The sequence below is a fragment of the Homo sapiens genome, chromosome 7, assembly GCF_000001405.40.
Source record: "Homo sapiens chromosome 7, GRCh38.p14 Primary Assembly".
In the NCBI taxonomy this organism is placed as follows: Eukaryota; Metazoa; Chordata; class Mammalia; order Primates; family Hominidae; genus Homo; species Homo sapiens.
In genome coordinates, this window is record NC_000007.14 from 142753872 (window position 1) to 142778283 (window position 24412).

Consider the following 24412-nt stretch of genomic DNA (forward strand, 5'->3'; position numbering starts at 1 on the left):
ACACTTCAAGTGAGTTATTTGGGATTCTTTAAAAGGGGTGGAAGGAAAGATCTGAGGACTGTGACACCACCAGCCACTCTGACCACACGTTGGCTGGCTTGAACCCACTGGATGCAGCAGAGGGAGGCAGGCCCTGTGGCACCTCTGGCACCTGCCAAAGCCTCCTCCTGGCAATTCTGAGAGGGCCCATGTTGGGGCTGTAGCTCATCCAAGCTTGGCACCGAAGATCCAAGGAAGCTTCTCTTTGAAATTCCACCTTCACCTCTGTCCCAAGTGGTTGTGGACACCCCTGGGAGCTGGCACTAAGGGCCAGGAGCAGCCAAGGGAGACAGACAAGTTCAGAGCACATTTCCAGTTACAGGGAACAGAGCACAGGCCTCCAAGTGTCCACAGAGCAGCGTGCAAATTGCAGGGATGAGTAGAGGAAAACCTCTACATGGAGCACAGCGTTCCTGGCAAACACAGGGGACTGCAGTCCACATGCTGTGGAATACACCCAAGTATGCATCAGACACTTGTTTGGTAAACAGTAAATGTGTAAGATCAATTACCTTGAGAGGGCCATCTGGGCTCCAGATGTGTGACTTGTGTGAGGAGACGGCTACCACTCACTATCTCCAGAGGAAAACAGGGCTCAGGGCTCGCACACAATGGATAGATACACACGGGTCACCCAGAACATCAATACATACAAACATCACTTTGTTCAACATGGATTTTGTTTTTATGGAGTCCAAACGCAGACCGTAGTTCACCTTACAGCCTTGGGTTTGTCTGCTTTTGGAGATATATATCCAGTAGATAGATAGACAGACAAGACAGATAATTTTTTCCCTTTCTTACTATAATATCAATGCCTTATCTGAATATCATCATCACTCAAGAGTCAAGGGAAGAACCAAACGCTTCATATAAACAGGGCTGGGCTGGGCAGGGAGTGTTAGTTTCCACTGTTTTCTGTCTCCATTCAGATCATCCCTATCAAAGCCCAGCTGGTCACCTCAAGCCAAGACACAGACATAAGGATCCCAATGGCCTTCCAGATGGCTGCTTCCACCTCCCACCTGGGCCACTAAGACTCTTTACACAGGAAAGTGAGTCACCCCAGTGAGAAGGGTTGCCAGAAGAAACAGGGCATGAAAATCACAGATAACCATGGGATTTCTTCCAAGTGGTCAGTATAAAATATACCAACACTACCATCACCAAAAACACAAAACAAGCAAAAACATGCTTATTCAAAATCCTAGACAAAATACTGTGTGAGAGCCAGGCCACGGGGTTGCCTTTTCACAGGCCACACAGCTTTCCCAGTCCATGTACTCACGTGGAACCGTGAGATGTGAAAGTCTGCAGGGTGTGTGCTCAGGATCGAGGCTGGTACTGTTCACCTATGGGTCCAGACCAAAGGGCAATAAGGCAGAAAGCTGATATCTGTCCACCGCCACGGCTTAGGGCCTCCTTCTCACAGAGGCTCCTAAGAGCCCCCACCTCAGCCTTCACACAAAACATCTCCTTCTGGCTGAACTACAGCCAGGCTGGAGTGCCGTGGCATGATCTCTGCTCACTACAGTCTCCACCTCCCGGGTTCAAGTGATTCAGCCTCCCAAGTACCTGGGATTACAGGCACTCGCCACCATGCCCAGCTGATTTTGTTTGTTTGTTTGTTTGTATTTTTAGTGGAGACAGGGTTTCACCATGTTGGCCAGGCTCATTTTGAACTCCTGACCTCAAGTGATCCAAGGTACTGGGATTACAGGCATGAGCCACCACTTCTGGCCCAGGACCCATTTTTTAAAAAAATTTTCAACTTTTATTTTAGATTCAGGGCATACGTGTGCAGGTTTGTTACATGGGTATATTGCGTGATGCTGAGGTTTGGGGCACAAATGTTCTTACCACTCAGGCAGTGAGAATAGTGCCCAATAGGTAGTTATTCAGCCCTTTCCACCCTCCTTCTCTCTTCCCTCTAGCAGTTACAGTGTCTACTGTTCCCATCTTTATATCCATGTGTACCAAATGCTCAGCTCCCACTTATACAGAAGAACGTGATATTTGGTTTTACATACCTGTGTTAATTTGCTTAGAATTATGGTCTCCATCTCCATCCACGTTGCTGCAAAGACATGATTTCATTTTTTCATAGCTGCATAGTATTCCATGGTGTATATGTACCACATTTCCTTTATCCAATCTACCGTTGATGGCCACCTAGATTGATTCCATGGCTTTGTTATTGTGAATAGTGCTGTGACGGACATGCAAGAGCATGTGTCTTTTTGGCAGACCAATTATTTTCCTTTGGGTATATGCCCAGTAAAGGAATTGCTGGGTGGAAAGGTAGTTCTGTTTTTAATTATTTCAGAAATCTCCAAACTGCCTTCTGCATTAATTTTTCCATAAACTAATCGACAGTCAGGCCAAGAGTGTATAAGCATTCCCTTTCCTCTGCAGCCTTGACAGCATCTTCTATTTTTTTTTTTTTTTTTTTGACGTTTTAATAATAGCCACTCTGCAGCCAAGCTCTTTCAAGGCCAATGTGGGGTAGAGCCACAAACATCCCTTTTCCGGAAGAGAATTCTTGCCTGCCCACTGGTAGAATTCTTGTTTTCATCTGTCTTTTATTATTTGTTTTTCAAAGAAAAACTGGCCTGTAATCCCAGCACTATACGTGGCCGAGGCGGGCGGATCACGAAGTCAGGAGATAGAGACCATCCTGGCTAACACAGTGAAATCCCGTGTCTACTAAAAACATAAAAAATTAGCCGGGTGTGGTGGCAGGTGCCTGTAGTCCCAGCTACTCGGGAGGCTGAGGCGGGAGAATGGCGTGAACCTGGGAGGCAAAGCTTGCAGTGACCTGAGATCATGCTACTGCACTCCAGCCTGGACAACAGAGCCAGACTCTGTCTCAAAAAAAAAAAAAGAAAGAAAAGAAAAGAAAAAAAAGAAAAACCAAAGGTAAAGTGGTAAGATCTTCCACACCTGAACCAGTTTGTAGCCACCAGAGCCTGCTGCGAAGGGGCCCCTCAAGCATGCATTCATCTTGTCACCTGGAATTTGAGAGATCAAGAAGCCCCATAGCAACCTACCATGCAACTGCCCATCAGTGCTGATCCTTTCAAGGGATTATCTCAATTCTGACTCTGCAGACACTGGCAGCCACAGGTGACAAACCCTGTGTATCTGTGGGCTTTCCTCATCACCCAGGGCCACAATGGGGTGCCTGCCCTAGGCAGAGACACAGCAACATTCTCTTAAACTGAAATTAAGCATAAATCCACTTCACCAATAATCATCTGAGGGCTCAGTCCCTGTCTCCTTCCTCGGGGATTTTAAAACACACATTTCTCTGACCAAACAGGTAGGTGAGATCTGACTTTAAAGGGGGGAAATTGGGTTGAATTGAGGTATCAGGAATGGATCACAAGTGTTTTTGTGTGGGGACAGGCATCCACATCCCGAACTGTACCTGGAGATGGAGAAAAATGCAGGAGAGGAGAAGAGAAAAAAAGGAGGAAAAAGTGGCTGAAAGTATTTGAAAGCTTCTCTCATGGTTCTTTCTGGCTCTGGTTGCTTTTCCAAGGTCTTGAGTGCAGGCAGGGCCAGCTCTGGCTGGGAGCTGCTGCTCTGGGACATGGAAGAGTCACTTCACCTCCAGAAAGTTCATTCGATCATCTGTAAAATGGGCAAGCCCATAGGTGGTTGTGATGATAAAATGAAAAAAAAACATTCTTAACTTACATGAGTTACATGCTGTATAGTAAGTTATGTGCTATATAGGAAGCACACAGAAATGATTCACTGTTATCATAATAGAAGGACAGTGGCTTGGTGTGCTAAGCACTAAATACAAGCCAGAAAAAATGTCTTAGAGAAGTAGACAAAGAAATCTATAGTTCAGAACCAACAGTACCAAGAATGACATGTCCTCCAAATTGAGCTTGGGCAGGTAGATCTGAACCTATCCTACACATCTGAGTCTATGATATGAGGTAATAGTCTCCACCTATAGCTATCTTCTCTGCCTGTGAGGTCATTCCTTTTTGAAGAAAGCTGACCTCAGACTATACTGTGATCATTTAAGGAAGAGCACAAAATACTGGAGAAGGCTAGTCTTCAAGCTCTAGATACAGAAAATCCTCATATTCTTGGGTGTTCCCTTTCAGACAGAGAATCAGAGCCACAAGCACTAATCCAGAAACCCCCTTTCCCAAAAACGTTTTCCATCTCCTACCAAGGTTCACATCCCTATTGAGTGCTCACTAGTGTCTATAGTTGCTAGAGCAAGAGTCTCTCCTTATTCTCTAAGGCAGGAGTTCTGTGAAGGCCCCATGACAAGGGGACAAAATGAAACAACATGTTTAGGGACAACACAGGAAAAACCCATATTATCAAAGCTCCAAAACCTGGCTACCTCAGGCTTGGCCAGTTATTCATGAGCAGAGAGGTTTCTCATCTACATGGCAGTCATGGCCTGGATGGGTCTGGAACTGTGGCAAGATAAGGCTCTGAGACAAGGTGCCAGGAGAAAGATGAATTCAATCATCCATTTCTGCCAGGAAGAAAAGCACCAGGAAGGAATCAGATGTACAGTTTGTCCTCTGGGGACCTCTGCCTTGATCCGCAATAAATCTCCTTTTAGATGCCACGTGCAGCAATTCCCACACTTTACAATGCTCTCCATGGCTTCTGTTGGCCTTATGGTCAGCTCTGCCAAGATCTGTATTCTTGGGCAAGACAGAATCCTTCTGAATCTCAGTCTCTTCCTCTATAAATGGAAACAATTTGGCTCTACACAAATCACAATTAGCATGTTTGTGGGAAGTTAAACCGTGAAACTCAGCATCAATGAAAAGCAATGTACCACTGTTGCTTATGAAAACTCTTGTAAAGTTGTCAGGCACCATGCACCATCTAAGTACAGCAGTGTTAGGTATAAGCCCATCAGTGATTAGAGGGGGTATGGGGTGGAGAGGGGGTCTCTGAGCAGTGGGTCTCCGGGCTCTGGGGAAGCTGGCTGGGTGGCCATACTAGGAGCTGAACCCGAAGGTACTCTGTGTGTCCTCTCAACTCCACGGGCCCCACTTTGGCATTTTCTCCAATTCCCTCTCGTTTCCATTTGCTTCCTCCCTCTAGCCCCCTGGCTGTGTCCAATTTCAACACCAAGTTTCTGAGCTTTTCTCATTTTGTTCACTGTCTCCAGAACATCCCTGCTTCTTTTACCTTTCAAAGAATTCAAACTTGAACTCTGCTCACTCCTGCCCATCACCAACCTGAGCTCAGAGTTCCTGAGAAGGGAAAGCACCCTCATAAGGAAACTCCTCCTTTTCTTACATCATTAGACTTGAGCACAGACAGCATTTCCATCTCCACACTGCTCTGGCCAGGTTGTGCCTCAGTCAATTACACAACTGTGTCTCAGTAGCCTTGGTAGGGCCCAAATCAGGATATTCTTTGGGAAGTTTCACTTTGTACTGAGCCAAGCATAATCTCCCGGGATCTAAAATAGAAAATTCTAGACCCACCCCTCCACATCTTCGTTATTGAACCCAATATGTCACCCATTTACCATGTGCTCAAATCTCTACCTACTGCTGATTCTCAGATCAAATCGTAACCCAGGTTTACCATGGTCCAAACTCTGACATCTGATTGGGGCCATGTCATCCTGGTTCAGGCTGTCAGCCCCAAGCAGGTGGGTCAGTTTGCCTCACCCTGAGAGCAGGTTGCCAGGGCAACCATGAGGCTGCATAAAAAGAACCTATGACAGGATGCATATGAGAGAGACAAATGTCTTCACATTGAAGAAGGGGAGGAGTGCACCATTGGTTTTCCATCCTCCAGATGCACTAAGCTCCTACCTAAACTGTGCCCCCTCCTTCTTTGAAACACATCCCATCCTTAAGCCTTGGTAGGAAGGAGAGCCATCTGGAAGCCCTGAATCCTATGGAATGCTGAGTCTCCCTTCTCCTTACCCCTTAGTGTTGGAATTCTCATTCCCCAAAGTCTTGGATTTGACCTTGCCCGACACTGACTGGAGAGAAGCATCTTCATATTCACAGGAATGAGCCTTAGATCAGACTTTGCTCCTCTCCTGGGAGCTCCAGGACACTGAAAAGCCAAGCTTGTTACCAATACTTGCCCTTCCTTAAGTACATTAAATACATCCCAAATAGTTAAACAGATTCCTAAACAGCCAGGCCATTCTCCCTCCTTCTAACCCTCATCTCCTCGGCCTACGAAAGCCCAGATGTGTGATCCAGGGCTTGGCTTCCCCTGTCTTCCCCATCCCAGCATCCTTGCGGGAAAGGGCTGCTCTCTCTCTCTGCTTTCAGAAGGCAAATTTCCTTATCACCTATGAGTCACAAACCCAGAGAGTGGCCAAACATAGCCAAGCTGATGCAAGACCCTGGGAAGGGGAAAGCTGCAGGTGTGTTTGTGCTGGGAGGAGTGCTGACCCTCACCTCAGAGACACCTCCTCTCCAGATCCTCAGGAGGTATAAAGACAGGTCCTCCACCACCAGTCAGGCACACTCTACCACCATGAATCCACTCCTGATCCTTGCCTTTGTGGGAGCTGCTGGCGAGTTTCATGCCATGCCTCAGGCCCCAACCACCCCCTTTCCTGGCAGACACTTGCCCTGCCATTCTTGCCACCTTTCCCATTTTGACTGTGTTCTGATATTCTATTTCCTCCATCTCTCCTTCCCATCCTCCTTCGGCTCTCTTTAAGCCTCACCTGTTTCAGCTTCTCCATGATTTCACTCCCACCACTGTCATTCATCCATATCTGAGCTGTGGCTGGAGAAGCTGGGAAGGGAGACCAGGTGGGGCGGGCCCACAAAATGAAGCAGCAGCCTTCAGGCTTGGCTCCATAGCACCAGTATAGCACCATTATATCTGCTCTTAACCTCAAATGCACCTGGGGAGGTTGAAAAATTACTCATATCAGAGACTCAGCTTTAGAAGTTCTAACTTCATTCTCTGGGGTGCAACCTGTGTACTGGGCTTTTAACATTCCCGGGTGATTTTTAACATTTCCATGCATGCAGCCAAGGTTAAGAATTGCTGTTCTATTGGCCAATAACAATGTCTACCTTTGTTCTGCCAAAGTGAGCCTGGGGGCTGCCCTCAACTCTGCCCTGACTACACAAATCTGAGCTATGGGGGAAGCTGGTCATGGCCAGGTCTACGCAGCCAGGGGGTTTTCCTAGCTTGGCCAAAGTATACTGACAATCCAGGGCTCAAATCGCCAGGGGAAGTACACAGGTGATGAATAAAAGAGAGAAGCACTCAGTGGGTGAGACAACCACATCCCAATTCCTATCCCACTGGAAGCATTGTGAGGACATTCCTTGAATCCTCAGCCTGGTGACCCCGGGGAGAACTGAGCCCCTGCAGGGTACCTAGCTACATGCCCTGCAGACACAGAGACTTGGGAGCCACATGCAGTGATGCTTACCAGGGGTGACAGCGCTCCCTCCCTTACCTAGCCTCACTGTGCTCGTTAAGGATTTCTAATTAGCAGGAAGCAACCGAAGGCTGGGAGCGCTACCCCTAACATGCTACTGACTTGCCTTCTCCTTTCCCATCTCCACTCCAGTTGCTTCCCCTTTCGACGACGATGACAACATCATTTAGTGGTATACCTGTGAGGAGAATTCTGTCCCCTACCAGGTGTCCCTGAATTCTGGGTACCACTTCTGCAGTGGCTCCCTCCTCAGCGAACAGTGGGTGGTGTCAGCAGCTCACTGCTACAAGTAGTAAGTGTGGGGCCCCTGACTGCAAAGCTCCCAGCCAGGCTGCCTGGGAGAGCTTGGCTTCAGCCCAGGGAACTACTGAGGTTGGGTAAGATGGATGGGAGAGGTGGTGGAGAAGAAAACTTGTTGGCAGCAGCGGACTCTCCAGAGCAGAGAGCGAACACAAGACAGGAAGCTCTCACACCCAGGCAAATCCATGAAACAGCAAGGGTTGTGGTCATAAAAGCAGGCAGGGATGATCTTGGTGTTTGGCAGAGCTAGTAAGAACAGCAGGCAAGTACCCTTTGCTGGTTAGCTACACATCAAAGTCACTTAAGAAAGAGTTTTTAAAAGTACTGATGCCTGTGTCCTATCCCAGGGCAATTATCAGGAATTTTCAGGAAGAGGGTGTGAATATCAGTGAGTATTAAACATTCTACCTCTGGTAACTGTAGATTGTATAGACAGAGCTGAGAACTGCTCCCTACACCAAGAACTCTCAAACCTGAGTTTGCCTCAGAACCACCTGCAGGGTTGTTAAAGCACAAATCACTGGGACCCATCCCCAAGGTTCTGAGCAGTAGGTGGGGGTAAGGACCAAGAATTTACATTTCTAACAAGTTCCCAGGAGATGCTAATGCTATGGCTACCCTTAGGTTAGATTACACAGAAGGGTGGTGCTCACCAGGCCAAGAAAGGAGGGAGGAACAGGCACTGTGCACAGTTAGCAAAGGCCTGGGGTGAAGAATGCTGGGAAAACTTCAAAGAGCTCCTTGTGCCCACAGTGCTAGTGACTGTGGAGATTGTGGGAAAGAGGCTGGGAAGGAGGGTTAAGGAGCATCCTCCGGTGGAATCCTTTTGACTCTTCCCAACCCCATTACCACCAACCTCTGAAACAGAAAGGTCCTGGGTCTCACAACTTCACTGACCCCCATCCCTCTCCTGCCCATGTGATATGGCCACACACCCCACCCGATGCCTCCAGAGCTGCCCATGAGCAGGGAGCTTGAGGACCCTGGGGAAAGTAAGATGGGTGTCCCAGCTGTGGGAGAAGGTCTTCACCATGCCTGCCCTGCCCATCAGCCGCATCCAGGTGAGACTGGGAGAGCACAACGTCGAAGTTCTGGAGGGGAATGAGCAGTTCATCAATGCAGCCAAGATCATCCGCCACCCCAAATACAACAGTTGGACTCTGGACAATGACATCCTGCTGATCAAGCTCTCCATGCCTGCTGTCATCAATGCCCACATGTCCACCATCTCTCTACCCACCGCCCCTCCAGCTGCTGGCACCAAGTTCCTCATCTCTGGCTAGGGCAACACTCTGAGCTCTGGTGGTGAGTGGGACCCTTTGTCCTTCTCCTTCCCTCCATCCTCACAATTTCCAGAACAAACCATGCCCCTTAACTTGAATCCTCTCACCTCCAGGCTTAAGACACATTTCTAGTGCCCATTACACACAGGCTGTACAGTGGATGGACATCAGAGAGATGCAAAGTCTCAAGGACTTGGCTCCTAAAATCAAAAGACAGGACATATAGAGAACTTGCTTTGATCACGTCTTGGAAGGGGTTCAAAAATGATCATTCTGGGAACTAAAAGCCAGAGTCCCTTGCCAGGACTTAGGTTTCGGAGTCCTCTCCAGGGACAGTGTTCCTCTTCAATGTTCCATCCTAGATTATTGTCTCCTTCTCTGGCCTGATCTACACTTCTACTTTCTTTGTTCTCTTGCTGATCCTCACAGCCAACTATCCAGATGAGCTGCAGTGCCTGGACACTCATGTGCTGACCCAGGCTGACTGTGAAGCCTCCTACCCTGGAGAGATTACCAACAACATGTTCTGTGTGGGTTTCCTTGAGGGAGGCAAGGATTCCTGCCAGGTGGTTTGACCCCTTCCCATGCTGAGGTTCCCACTGATACCCAGGCCCCACCCAGGAAAAAGATTTGAACTCCCAAGGTGGCGGGGCTCAGGAGGCTCCCTGCACTGCCCCCATGGAGAAGTGAGGAAGACTCCCTTGGGCTGCATCCTGTCTGCTTAGGAAGAACAGAGAATGGGCCACTGTGCGAAGGACGTGGAGCCAAAGAGCTGGCTGGAAAGGAGTCTTTTAAGGTTCAGAGCAAATGTAGCTATATTCTTCCTCTTTCTCTCTCTTCATACAGCTTGTCCCTTCTTCTCCCCAGGGTGACTCTGGTGGCCCTGTGGTCTGCAACGGACAGCTCCAAGGAGTTGTCTCCTGGGGCTATGGCTGTGCCCAGAAGAACAGGCCTGGAGTCTACACCAAGGTCTACAACTATGTGGACTGGATTAAGGACACCATAGCTGCCAACAGCTAAAGCCTCTGGTACCTCTGCAGTCTCTATACCAATAAAGTGACCTTGCTTTCACTGTCTGTGTCTGTGCCTGCTCCCTCACACTGCTTCACACTGGAAAGCATCCTCCAATCTCAGGTCAGCCACGACTCCCCCCCTTAAAGGTAAGCTGAACCCTCATCTCCCAAAATGTGTTGCATGGTACACTAGATTAGCACATACAAATAGATGGAATCCAAAAATTATAAGAAACTTGGGAGAAAGGGGGGCACTGTTTTCTAGAGAAATGTGTGTTTCAGAAAGTTGGTCTTTGGTGGGGGGGTACTGATTTTTATTTGGGCTTCTCACAGTGGGTAGAGCTACTCTGCCTTCAGAACAATCACAGCACAGAAAATGTTGTCAGCATCTTCGAGGCAGCCCAAAAAATCCGACCAGCTGAATCTTCTTGCTAAAATACATCAAAAAAGACAAATGCTGTTGGTGATGACGTGCCTCTCACAGGAATATGTCAGCACCAAACCCTCAACCAAGCCCTCCCTCCTCATTCACCTGGAAAATTAGACTCAAGCAAAGCTCCCTGGCCTCCTACCTCTTCCCTCAGTTCCCTAGTTCCATCTCTGTGAGCAGGCTAGAGAGATGTTCCACCTACCATAGCGGGAGCTAGACTGCGACTTGGGAATCAAGCCAGGTCTGCACGCTGCATTTTCATCTTCTTTGCCTTTGGGGTAGGACGCCATATGAATCCCACAGTTAACACCAGCTCCCCACTCTGACCAGGGAAAGAAACTAGAGAGGGTCAAGATTCACCCATTTGATCAATTAACTGAGGTAGGTTTCATTTTCATATAACTTGCTTGCCTTTGAGATACTTCAAGTGACTTACGTGGGACTCCTTAAAAAAAAGTGGAGGGAAAGACATCTGAGCAGCCACTCTGGCCACATGTTGGCTGGCTTGCACCCACTGGATGCAGCAGAGGGAGGCAGGCCCCCTGGCACCTCTGGCACCTGCCAAAGCCTCTTCCAGGCAATTCTGAGAGGGACCATGTTGGGGCTGTAGCTCATCCAAGCTTGTCACCGAAGATCCAAGCAAGCTTCTCTTTGAAATTCCACCTTCATCTTCTGTCCCAAGTGGTTGTGGACACCCCTGGGAGCTGGTAACAAGGGCCAGGAGCAGCCAAGGAAGACAGACAAGTTCAGAGCACATTTCCAGTTACAGGGAACAGAGCACAGGCCTCCAAGTGTCCACAGAGCAGTGTGCAAATTGCAGGGATGAGTAGAGGAAAACCTCTACATGGAGCACAGCATTCCTGGCAAACACAAGGGACCGCAGTCCACATGCTGTGGAATAAACCCAAGTATGCATCGGACACTTGTTTGGTAAACAGTAAATGTGTAAGATCAATTACCTTGAGAGGGCCATCTGGGCTCCAGATATGTAGTTCATGTGAGGAGACGGCTACCACTCACTATCTTCAGAGGAAAACAGGGCTCAGGGCTTGCACACAATGGAGATACACACAGGTCACCCAGAACGTCAATACATACAAACATCACTTTGTTCAACATGGATTTTGTTTTTATGGAGTCCAAACGCAGACCGTAGTTCACCTTACAGCCTTGGGTTTGTCTGCTTTTGGAGACATATATCCAGTAGATAGATAGACAACACAGATACATTTTTTTCCCTTTCTTACTGTAACGTCAGTGCCTCGTCTGAATATCATCATCACTCAAGAATCAAGGGAAGAACAAAATGCTTCATATAAACAGGGCTGGGCAAGGAGTCTTAGTTTCCCCTGTTTTCTGTCTCCATTCAGATCATTCCTATCAAAGCCCAGCTGGTTACCTCAAGCCAAGAGACAGACATAAGGATCCCAATGGCCTTCTAGATGGCTGCTTCCACCTCCTACCTGGGCCACATAGAGTCTTTACACAGAAATCTGAGTTAGCCCTGTGAGAAGGGTTGACAGCACAAACAGTGCATGAAAATCACAGATAACCATGGTATATCTCGCAAGTGGTCAGTGTAAAATAAACCACCACCACCACCACAAAAAACACAAAACAAGCAGAAAAATGCTTATTCAAAAATCTAAGACAAAATACTGTGTGAGAAACAGGCCACGGGGTTGCCTTTTCTCAGGCCACACAGCTTTCCCATTCCATGTGCTCACATGGACCGTGAGATGTGAAAGTCTGCAGGGCGTGTGCTCGGGATCGAGGCTGGTACTGTTCACCTGTGGGTCCAGACCAAATGGCAAAGAGGCAGAAAGCTATAACTCTGTCCACCGCCACGGCTTAGGGCCTCCTTCTCACAGAGGCTCCAAAGAGCCCCCACCTCAGCCTTCACACAAAACATCTCCTTCTGGCTGAACAACAGCCAGGCTGGAGTGCCGTGGCATGATCTCTGCTCACTACAACCTCCACCTCCCGGGTTCAAGTGATTCAGTCTCCCAAGTACACGGGATTACAGGTGCATGCCACCATGCCAAGCTAATTTTTTTTTTCTTTTTTGTATTTTTATTAGAGACAGGGATTTACGATGTTGGCCAGTGTGGTTTTGAACTCCTGACCTCAAGTGATCCAGAGTGCTAGGATTACAGGTGTGAGCCACAGCTTCTGGCCCAGGCCCCATTTTTTAAAAAATAATTTCAAATTTTATTTTAGATTCATGGGGTACATGTGCAGGTTTGTTACATGGGTATACTGTGTGATGCTGAGGTTTGGGGCACAAATGATCTCCTCACTCAGGAACTGAGCACAGTACCCAATAGGTATTTTTTCAGCCCTTTCCACACTCCTTCTCTCTTCCCTCTAGTAGTTGCAGTGTCTACTCTTCCCATCTTTACATCCATTTTTACCCAATGCTCAGCTCCGACTTATACATGAGAACGTGATATTTGGTTTTCTGTTCCCATGTTAATTTGCTTAGGATTATGGTCTCCAGCTCCATCCATGTTGCTGCAAAGGACATGATTTCATTCTTTTCATGGCTGCATAGTATTCCATGGTGTATATGTACCACATTTTCTTTATCCAGTCTACCGCTGATGGCCACCTAGGTTGATTCCATGGCTTTGCTACTGTGAATAGTGCTGTGATGGACATGCAAGAGCATGAGTCTTTTTGGCAGAACAATTACTTTCCTTTAGGTAAATGCCCAATAAAGCAAGTGCTGGGTGGAAAGATAGTTCTGTTTTAAATTGTTTCAGAAATCTCCAAACGGTTTTCTACATTAATTTTTCCATGAACTGATTTACACTCTGGCCAACAGTGTACAAGCATTCCCTTTCCACTGCAGCCTCATGAGCATCTTCTATTCTGTGGACATTTTAATAATAACCACACTGCAGCCAAGCTCTTTCAAGCCCAATGTGGGGAACAGCCACAAACATCCCTTTTCCCAACGAGAATTCTTGCCTGCCCACTGGTAGAATTCTTGTTTTCAGCTGTCTTTCATTGTTTGCTTTTCAAAGAAAAACCAAAGGTAAAGTGGTATGATCTTCCACACGTGAACCAGTTTGTAGCCACCAGAGCCTGCTGGGAAGGGGCCCCTCACGCATGCATTGATCTTGTCATGTGGAATTTGAGAGATCTAGAAGCCCCACAGCAACCTACCATACAACTGCCTATCAGCGCTCATCCTTTCACAGGATTAGCTCAATTCTGGCTCTGCAGACACTGGCAGCCACGGGTGAGAAACCCTGGGCCTCTGTGGGCTTCCTTCATCACCCAGGGCCACAGTGGGCTGCCTGTCCTAGGCAGAGACACAGCAACATTCTCTTAAGCTGAAATTAAGCATAAACCCACTTCACCAATAATCATCTGAGGGCACAGTCCCTGCCTCCTTCCTTGGGGATTTTAAAACACACATCTCTCTGACCAAACAGGTAGGTGAGATCTGACTTTAAAGGGGGGAAAGTGGGATGAATTGGGGTATCAGGAATGAATCCCAAGTGTTTTTGTGTGGCGAATGGCATCCACATCCCAAAATATACTTGGAGATGGGGAAAAAAGCAGGAGAGGAGAAGGGTAAAAAAGGAGGACAAAGTGTCTGAAAGTCATTGAAAGCTTCTCTCATGGTTCTTTCTGGCTCTGGTTGCTTTGCCAAGGTCTTGAGTGCAGGCAGGGCTGGCTCTGGCTGGGAGCTGCTGCTCTGGAACATGGAAGAGTCACTTCACCTTCAGAAAGCTCATTTGCTCATCTGTAAAGTGGGCAATTCCATAGGTGGTTGTGATGATAAAATGAAAAAAAAGTTCTTAACTTATATGAGTGACATGCTGTATAGTAAGTTACATGCTATATAGGAAGCACACAGAAATGATTCACTGTTATGATAATGGAAGGACAGTGGTTTGGCATGTTAAGCACTAAACACAAGCCAGAAAGATATCTTAGAGAAGTAGACAAAGAAATCTATAGTTCAGAATGAACAGTACCAAGAATGACATGTCCCCCAAATTGAGCATGGGTAGCTGGATCTGAACCTATCCTACACATCTGAGTCTACAGTATGAGGTAACAGTCTTCACCTATAGCTATCTCCTCTGCCTGTAAGGTCATTCCTTTTTGAAGAAAGCTGACCTCAGACTATACTGTGATCGCTTAAGGAAGAGCACAAAATACTGGAGAAGGCTAGTCTTCAAGCTCTAGATACAGAAAATCCTCAATTCTTGGGTGTTACCTTTCAGAAAAAGAGTCAGAGCTACAAGCCCTGATCCAAAAATCCCTTTTTCCAAAAAAATTCTCCATCTTCTACCAAGGTTCACCTCCCTGTTTAGTGCACACTGGTGTCTATAGTTGCTAGAGCAAGAGTCTCTCCTTATCCTCTAAGGCAGGAGTTCTGTGAAGACCCCATGACAAGGGGACAAAATGAAATAACATGTTCAGCGACAACACAGCAAAACCCCATATTATCAATGCTCTAAAACCTAGCTACCTCAGGCTTGGCCAGTTATTCATGAGCAGAGAGGTGTGTCATCTACATGGCAGTCATGGCCTGGATGGGTCTGGAACTGTGGCAAGGTAAGGCTCTGAGAAAAGGTGCCAGGAGAAAGATGAATTCAATCATCTATTTCTGCCAGGAAGAAAAGCACCAGGAAGGAATCAGATGTACAGTTTGTCCTCTGGGGACCTCTGCCTTGATCCTCAATAAATCTCCTTTTAGATGCCACGTGCAGCAATTCCCACACTTCACAATGCTCTCCATGGCTTCTGTTGGCCTTATGGTCAGCTCTGCCAAGATCTGTATTCTTGGGCAAGACAGAATCCTTCTGAATCTCAGTCTCTTCCTCTATAAATGGAAATAATTTTGCTCCACACAAGTCACCATTAGCACGTTGGTGGGAAGTTAAACTGCGAAACTCAGCATAAACAAAGAGCAATGTACCACTGTTGCTTACGTGAAAACTCCCGTGAAGCAGTCAGGCACCATGCACCATCTAAGCATAGCAGCGTTAGGTATCAGCCTATTAGTGATTAGAGAGGGTACCGGGGAGAGAGGGGGCCTCAGAGCAGTGGGTCTCCTGGCTGTGGGGAAGCTGCCTCAGTGGCCATGCCAGGAGCTGAACCTGAAGGTACTCTGTGTGTCCTCTCAACACCATGGACCCTATTTTGGTATTTTTTTCCAGTTACCTCTGGTTTCCATTTGCTTCCTCCCTCTAGCCCCCTGGCCATGTCCGATTTCTCCAGCAAGTTTCTGAGCTTTTCTCATTTTGCTCACTGTCTCCAGAACATCCCTGCTTCTTTTACCTTTCAAAGAATTCAAACTTGAACTCTGCTCACTCCTGCCCATCACCAACATTAGCTCAGAGTTGATGAGAAGGGAAAGCACCCTCATAAGGAAGCCCCTCCTTTCCTTACATTATTAGACCTGAGCGCAGACAGCATCTCCATCTCCACACTGCTCTGGCCAGGTTATGCCTCAGTCAATTACACGACTGTATCTTAGTACCCTTGGTAGGGCTCAAATCAGGATATTCTCTAGAAAGATTCACTTAGTACTGAGCCAAGTATAATCTCACTACATCTAAAATAGAAAATTCTAGACCCACCCCTCCACATCTTTGTTATTGAACCCAATATGTCACCCATTTACCATGTGCTCAAATCCCTACCTACTGCTGATTCTCAGATCAAATCATAACCCAGATTTACCATGGTCCAAACTCTGACATGTGATCAGGGGCATGTCATTCTGGTTCAGGCTGTCAGCCCCAAGCAGGTGGGTCAGTTTCAATCACCCTGAGTGCAGGTTGCAAGGGCAACCATGAGGCTGCATAAAAAGAACCTATGACAGGATGCACATGAGAGACAAATGTCTTCACATTGAAGAAGGGGAGGAGTGCGCCATTGGTTTTCCATCCTCCAGATGCACTGAGTAAGCTCCTACCTAACCTGTGCCCCCTCCTTCTTCTCATCCCTATGCCGTGGTAGGAGGGAGAGCCATCTTCAAGCCCAGCATCCTATGGAATGCTGAGTCTCTCTTCTCCTTACCCCTTAATGTTGGAATTCTCATTCCCCAAAGCCTTGGATTTGACTTTCCCACTGAGTGACTGGAGAGAAGCATCTTCATATTCACAGGAACAAGCCTTAGTTAGATAAGACTTTGCCCCTCTCCTGGGAGCTCCAGGACACTAAAAAGCCAAGCTTGCTACCAACACTTGCCCTTCCTTAAGTACATTAAATATAACCCCAATAGTAAAATATATTCCTAAACAGCCAGGCCATTCTCCCTCCTTCTAACCCTCATCTCCTCGGCCTAAGAAAGCCCAGCTGTGTGATCTGGGGCTTGGCTTCCCCTGTCTTTCCCATATCAGCATCCTTCCAGGAAACAGCCGGTCTCCCTCTCTGCTCTCAGAAGGCAAGTTTCCTTATCACCTGTGAATCACAAACCCACAGAGTGGCCAAACATACTGATGCAAGACCATAGGAAGGGGAAAGCTGCAGGTGTGTTTGTGCTGGGAGGAGCAGTGACCCTCACCTCACAGACACCTCCTCTCCCCATCCTCGGGAGGTATAAAGACGGGTTCTCCACCAGCAATCAGGCACACTCTACCACCATGAATCTACTTCTGATCCTTACCTTTGTTGCAGCTGCTGGTGAGTTTCACGCCCTGCCTCAGGCCTCAACCAACCCTTCCCTGGCAGACACATGCCCTGCCATTCTTGCCACCTCTCCTCTTTTGACTGTGCTGTGATATTCTATTTCCTCCATCTGGCATTTCTTCTTCCCATCCTCCTTGGGCTCTTTTTAAGCCTCACTTGTTCCACCTTCTCCTTGATTTCACTCCCACCGCTGTTATTCATCCATATCCGAGCTGTGGTTGGAGAAGCTGGGAAGGGAGACCAGGTGGGGCTGGCCCATGAAATGAAGCAGTAGGCTTCAGGCTTGGCTCTGACAGCACCACAATAGCACCACTATAGCTGCTCTTAACCTCGAATGCACCTGGGGAGGTTGAAATTACTCATGCAAGACACTCAACTCTAGAAATTCTCACTTCAATTGTCTGGTGTGCAGCCTGTGTTCTGGGCTTTTAAGCTTCCCAGGTGATTTTTAACATTTCTAGGCATGCAGCCAAGGTTAAGAATTGCTGTTGTTTTGACCAATAATAACGTATACCTTTGTTCTGCAAAAGTGAGCCTGGGGCTTCCCTCAACTCTGCCCTCACTGGGCAGATTTGAGCTGAGGGGGAAACTGGTCATGGCCAAGTCGATGTCGCCAGGGGGTTTTCCTAGCTTGGCCAAAGTAGCCAGACAATCCGGGGCTTAAATAACCAGGTGGAGTACACAGGTGGTGAATAAAAGAGAGAAGACTTCAGTGCTTGAGACAGCCACATCCCAAATCCTATCCCACTGGAAGTATTGTGAGGATATTCCTTGCGTCCTCAGCCTGGTGACCCCAGGAGAGATCTGAACCCCCACAGGGTACCTAGCTACGTGCCCTGCAGACACAGAGACTTGGGAGCCACATCCAGTGATGATCACCAGGGCTGGCAGCGCTCCCCCCCTTGCCTAGCCTCACTGAGCTTGTTAAGGTTTTCTAATTAGCAGGAAGCAGCCACAGGCTGGGAGCGCCACCCCTAACATGCTACTGACTTGCCTTCTCCCTTCCCATCTCCACTCCAGTTGCTGCCCCCTTTGATGATGATGACAAGATCGTTGGGGGCTACATCTGTGAGGAGAATTCTGTCCCCTACCAGGTGTCCTTGAATTCTGGCTACCACTTCTGCGGTGGCTCCCTCATCAGCGAACAGTGGGTGGTGTCAGCAGGTCACTGCTACAAGTCGTAAGTGTGGGGCCCCTGACTGCAAAACTCCCAGCCAGGCTGCCTGGGAGAGCTTGGATTCAGCCCAGGGAAGTACTGAGGTTGGGTAGGACGGACGAGAGAGATGGTGGAAAAGAAAACTTGTTGGCAGCAGCTGACTCTCCAGAGCAGAGAGTGAACACAAGACAGGAAGCCCTCACACCCAGGCAAATCCATGAAACAGCAAGGGTTGTGGTCATAAAAGCAGGCAGGGATGATCTTGGGGTGGTGAGAGCTAGTGAGAAGAGCAGGCTAGTACTTTTGCTGGTTAGCTACACATTAAAGCCACCTAAGAATGAGTACTTAAAAATACTGATCCCTGTGTTCTATCCCAGGGCAATTAACTCAAAATTATCAGGAAGAGGGTGTGAATATCAGTGAGTATTTCACACTCTACCTCTGGTAACTGTAGAGTGTATAGACAGAGCTGAGAACTGCTGCCTACACCAAGAACTCTTAAACCTGAGTATGCATCAGAACTCCCTGCAGGCTTGTTAAGGCACAAATCACTGGGACCCATCCCCAAGGTTCTGATCAGTAGGTGGGGGTAAGGACCAAGAACTTACATTTCTAACAAATTCCCAGGAGATGCTAATGCTATGGCTACCCTTGGATTAGATTACACAGAAGGGTGGTGCTCACCAGGCCAAGAATGGAGGGAGGAGCAGGCACTGTGCACAGTTAGCAAAGGCCTGGAGTGAAGAATGTTGGGAAAACTTCAAGGAGCTCCTTGTGCCCACAGTGCTAGTGACATGGAGATTATGGGAAAGAGTCTGGGAAGGCAGATTGAGGAGCAGCCTCTGGTGGGATCCCTTTGACTCTTCCCCACTCCACTACCACCAACCTCTGAAGCAGAAAGGTCCTGGGTTTCACACCTGCACTGACCCACATTGCTCTCCTGCCCATGCAATATGGCCACACACCCCACCCCATGCCTCCAGAGCTGTCCATGAGCAGGGAGCTTAAGGACCCATGGAAAGGTGGGAGGGGTGCCCTGGCTGTGGGAGAAGGTCTTCACCATGCCTGCCCTGCCCATCAGCCGCATCCAGGTGAGACTGGGAGAGCACAACATCGAAGTCCTGGAGGGGAATGAACAGTTCATCAATGCGGCCAAGATCATCCGCCACCCCAAATACAACAGCCGGACTCTGGACAATGACATCCTGCTGATCAAGCTCTCCTCACCTGCCGTCATCAATTCCCGCGTGTCCGCCATCTCTCTGCCCACTGCCCCTCCAGCTGCTGGCACCGAGTCCCTCATCTCCGGCTGGGGCAACACTCTGAGTTCTGGTGGTGAGTGGGACCCTTTGTCCTTCTACTTCCCTCCATCCCACAATTTCCAGAACAAACCATGCCCCTTAACTTAAATCCTCTCGCCTCCAGGCTTAAGACACATTTCTAGTGCCCATTACACACAGGCTCTGCACTGGGCACCAGAGAGATGCAAATTCTCAAGGATGTGGCTCCTAAAATCAAAAGACAGGACAAATGGAGAACTTGCTATGATCACTTCGTGGGAGAGGTTCAACAATGATCATTCTGGGAACTAAAAGCCAGAGTCCCTTGCCAGGACTTATGTTTTGGAGTCCTCTCCAGGGGCAGTGTTCCTCTTCAATGTTCCATCCTAGACTATTGTCTCTTTCTCTGGCCTAACCCACATTTCTTTCTTTGTTCTCTTCCTGATCCTCACAGCCGACTACCCAGACGAGCTGCAGTGCCTGGATGCTCCTGTGCTGAGCCAGGCTGAGTGTGAAGCCTCCTACCCTGGAAAGATTACCAACAACATGTTCTGTGTGGGCTTCCTCGAGGGAGGCAAGGATTCCTGCCAGGTGATTTGACCCCTTCCCATGCTGAGGCTCCCACTGATAACCAGGCCCCACCAGGGAAAATGATTTGAACTCCCAAGGTGGCGGGGCTGAGGAGGCTCCCTGCAGTGCCCCATGGAGAAGTGAGGAAGACTCCTTTGGGCTGCATCCTGTCTGCTTAGGAAGAACAGAGAATGGGCCACCGTGAGAAGGACGTGGAGCCACAGAGCTGGCTGGAAAGGGCTCTTTTAAGGTTCAGAGCAAATGTAGGTGTATTCCTCCTCCATCTCTCTCTTCATACAACTTGTCCCTTCTTCCCCCCAGGGTGATTCTGGTGGCCCTGTGGTCTCCAATGGAGAGCTCCAAGGAATTGTCTCCTGGGGCTATGGCTGTGCCCAGAAGAACAGGCCTGGAGTCTACACCAAGGTCTACAACTATGTGGACTGGATTAAGGACACCATAGCTGCCAACAGCTAAAGCCCCTGGTCCCTCTGCAGTCTCTATACCAATAAAGTGACCCTGCTCTCACTGTCTGTGTCTGTGCCTCCTCCTTCACACTCCTTCACATTGGAAAGCATCCTCCAACCTCAGGTCAGACAGGGCTCTCCCCCTTAAACATAAGAAGAGCCTCCAGCTCCCAAATGTGTTCCATGGTACACTAGATTAACACATACAAAGAGGTGGAATCCAAAAATAAGAAGCTTGGGAGAAAGGGGGGCACTGTTTTCTAGAGAAACGTGTGTTTCAGAAAGGTGGTCTTCGGCAGGGGCTATTGTTTTATTTGGGCTTCTCAGAGTGGTTAGAGCTACTCTGCCTTCAGAACAATCACAGTACAGAAAATGTGTCAGCATCTTCGAGGTGGCCCAAAATATTTGACCAGCTGAAACTTCTTGCTAAAATACAACAATAATTACAAATGCTGCTGGTGATGACGTGACTCTCCCAGGAATGTGTCGGCACCAAACCCTCGACCAAGCCCTCCCTTCTCATTCGCCTGGAAAATCAGACTCAAATAAATCTTCCTGGCCCTCCGACTCTTCCCTTAATTCCCTAGTTCCATCTCTGTGAGCAGGCTAGAGAGATGTTCCACCTACCACAGCGGGAGCCAGACTGCGACTTGGGAATCAAGCCCAGCTCTTCATGCTGCATTTTTATCTTCTTTGCCTTTGGGGTAGGATGCCACAGTGAATCCCACAGCTAACACCAGCTCCTCACTCTGACCAGGGAAAGAAACTACAGAGGGTCAGGATTCACCCATTTGATCAATTAACTGAGAAAGGATTCATTTTCATAAAACTTGCTTGACTTTGAGACACTTCAAGTGAGTTATTTGGGATTCTTTAAAAAAGGTGGAAGGAAAGATCTGAGGACTGTGACACAACCAGCCACTCTGACCACACATTGACTGGCTTGCACCCACTGGACACAGCAGAGGGAGGCAGGCTTCATGGCACTTGCGGCACCTGCCAAAGCCTCCTTCTGGCAATTCTGAGAGGGCCTAAGTTGGGGCCGTAGCTCATCCAAGCTTGTCACCCAAGATCCAAGCAAGCTTCTCTTTGAAATTCCACCTTCACCTTCTGTCCCAAGTGGTTGTGGACATCCCTGGGAGCTGGCGCTAAGGGCCAGGAGCAGCCAAGGGAGACAGACAAGTTCAGAGCACATTTCCAGTTACAGGGAACAGAGCACAGGCCTCCAAGTGTCCATGGAGCAGCGTGCAAATTGCAGGGATGAGTAGAGTAAAACCTCTACATGCAGCACAGCATTCCTGGCAAACACAGGGGACCACAGTACACATGCTGTGGAATACACCCAAGTATGCATCAGACACTTGTTTGGTAAACAGTAAATGTGTAAGATCAATTACCTTGAGAGGGCCATCTGTGCTCCAGACATGTGGTTTGTGTGAGGAGACGGCTACCACTCACTATCTTCAGAGGAAAACAGGGCTCAGGGCTTGCACACAATGGACAGATACACATGGGTCACCCAAAACGTCACTGCATACAAACATCACTTTGTTCAACATGGATTTTGTTTTTATGGAGTCCAAATGCAGACCCTAGTTCACCTTACAGCCTTGGGTTTGTCTGCTTTGGGAGATATATATCCAGTTGATAGACAGACAAGACAGATACATTTTTTCCCTTTCTTACCACAATGTCAATGCCTCATCTGAATATCATCATTACTCAAGAGTCAAGGGAAGAACCAAACGCTTCATATAAACAGGGCTGGGCTGGGCTAGATGGGGAGTGTTAGTTTCCAGTGTTTTCTGTCTCCATTCAGATCATTCCTATCAAAGCCCAGCTGGTCACCTCAAGCCAAGACACAGACATAAGGATCCCAATGGCCTTCCAGATGGCTGCTTCCACCTCCCATCTTGGCCACTAAGACTCTTTACACAGGAAAGTGAGTCACCCCAGTGAGAAGGGTTGCCAGCGGAAATAGGGCATGAAAATCACAGATAACCATGGGATTTCTTCCAAGTGGTCAGTGTAAAATAAACCACCACCACCACCACCGAAAACACAAAAGAAGCAAAAAAAGTGCTTATTCAAAATCCAAGACAAAATACTGTGTGAGAGTCAGGCCACGGGGTTGCCTTTTCTCAGGCCACACAGCTTTCCCAGTCCGTTTGCTCGCATGGAACCGTAAGATGTGAAGGCCTGCAGAGCGTGTGCTTGGGATGGAGGCTGGTACTGTTCACCTGTGGGTCCAGACCAAAGGGCAAAGAGGCAGAAAACTGAAACTCTGTCCACCGGCACAGCTTAGGCCCTTCTGCTCATAGAGGCTCTGAAGAACCCCCACCTCAGCCTTCACACATATCCTTCTGGCTGAACTACAGCCAGGCTGGAGTGCCATGGCATGATCTCTGCTCACTACAACCTCTGCCTCCAGGGTTCAAGTGATTCAGCCTCCCAAGTAGCTGGAATTACAGGCACCCACCACTGTGCCCAGCTAATTTATTTTTTATTTTATTTATTTATTTATTTATTTATTTATTTATTTATTTATTTTGTATTTTTAGCAGAGACAGGGTTTCACCATGTTGGCCAGACTGGTTTTGAACTCCTGACCTCAAGTGATCCAAAGTGCTGGGATTACAGGCGTGAGCTACCGCTCCTGGCTCAGACCCCATTTTTAAAAAATATTTTCAACATTTATTTTAGATTCATGGGGTACATGTGCAGATTTGTTACATGGGTATATTGTGTGATGCTGAGGTCTGGGGCACAAATGATCTCCTCACTCAGGCAGTGACCATAGTACCCAATAGGTATTTTTTTAGCTCTATCCACCCTCCTTCTCTCTTCCCTCTAGTAGTTGCAGTGTCTAGTCTTCCCATCTTTATATCCATGTGTACCCAATGCTCAGCTCCCACTTATACATGAGAACGTGATATTTGGTTTTCTGTTCTTATGTTAATTTGCTTATGATTATGGTCTCCAGCTCCATCCATGTTGCTGTAAAGGACATGATTTCATTCTTTTCATGGCTGCATAGTATTCCATGGTGTATATGTACCACATTTCCTTCATCCAGTCTACCGCTGATGGCCACCTAGGTTCATTCCATGGCTTTGCTACTGTGAATAGTGATGTGATGGACATGTGAGAGCATGTGTCTTTTTGGCAGAACAATTATTTTCCTTTGGGTAAATGCCCAGTAATGGAATTGCTGGGTGGAATCGTAGTTCTGTTTTAAATTATTTCAGAAATCTCCAAACTGCTTTCTGCATTAATTTTTCCATGAACTCATTTACACTCTGACCAACAGTGTATAGGTGTTCCATTTCCTCTGCAGCCTCACCAGCATCTTCTGTTTTTTGACATTTTAATAATAGCCACTCTGCAGCCAAGCTCTTTCAAGGCCAATGTGGAGAAGAGCCACAAACATTCCTTTTCCCGAAGAGAATTCTTGCCTGCCCACTGGTAGATTTCTTGGTTTCATCTGTCTTTCATTGTTTGTTTTTCAAAGAAAAACCAAAGGTAAAGTGATAATGATCTTCCACACCTGAACCAGTTTGTAGCCACCAGAGCCTGCTGGGAAGGGGCCCCTCACGCATGCATTGATCTTGTGACCTGGAATTTGAGAGATCAATAAGCCCCGTAGCAACCTACCATACAACTGCCCATCAGCGCTGATCCTTTCATGGGATTAGCTCAATTCTGGCTCTGCAGACACTGGCAGCCACAGTTGACAAACCCTGGGCCTCTGTGGGCTTCCTTTGTCACCCAGGGCCACAGTGGGC

General features: G+C 47.9%; 1 protein-coding gene, 1 long non-coding RNA gene, 1 pseudogene and 1 further gene across 4 annotated transcripts; 3 read left to right on the forward strand and 1 right to left on the reverse strand.

Moving 5' to 3' along the window:
• The window catches only part of TRB (T cell receptor beta locus), a 514277-nt gene that overhangs the window by 454861 nt on the left and 35004 nt on the right, over positions 1 to 24412 (forward strand).
• Positions 6544 to 10110, forward strand: PRSS3P1 (PRSS3 pseudogene 1; annotated as a pseudogene).
• Positions 10360 to 11236, reverse strand: LOC124901763 (uncharacterized). Its single transcript, XR_007060566.1, has 2 exons — positions 10700 to 11236; positions 10360 to 10498 (listed from the first exon to the last, which is right to left on the reverse strand). It is a non-coding gene; the product is annotated as an uncharacterized LOC124901763 (long non-coding RNA).
• PRSS2 (serine protease 2) lies at positions 17099 to 20689 on the forward strand. 3 transcript variants are annotated; one of them, NM_001303414.2, is made up of 6 exons: positions 17099 to 17151; positions 18178 to 18337; positions 18691 to 18732; positions 19395 to 19648; positions 20048 to 20184; positions 20485 to 20689. In NM_001303414.2, the coding sequence occupies exons 1-6, from the start codon at positions 17112 to 17114 to the stop codon at positions 20635 to 20637; spliced, it is 786 nt and encodes a 261-aa protein (NP_001290343.1). In that variant the 5' UTR covers positions 17099 to 17111; the 3' UTR covers positions 20638 to 20689. The 3 variants fall into 3 exon arrangements, 2 of the variants coding, with proteins under 2 accessions (NP_001290343.1, NP_002761.1); NR_130149.2 differs by lacking the exon at positions 18691 to 18732 and having other exon boundaries at positions 18252 to 18337; NM_002770.4 differs by lacking the exon at positions 18691 to 18732.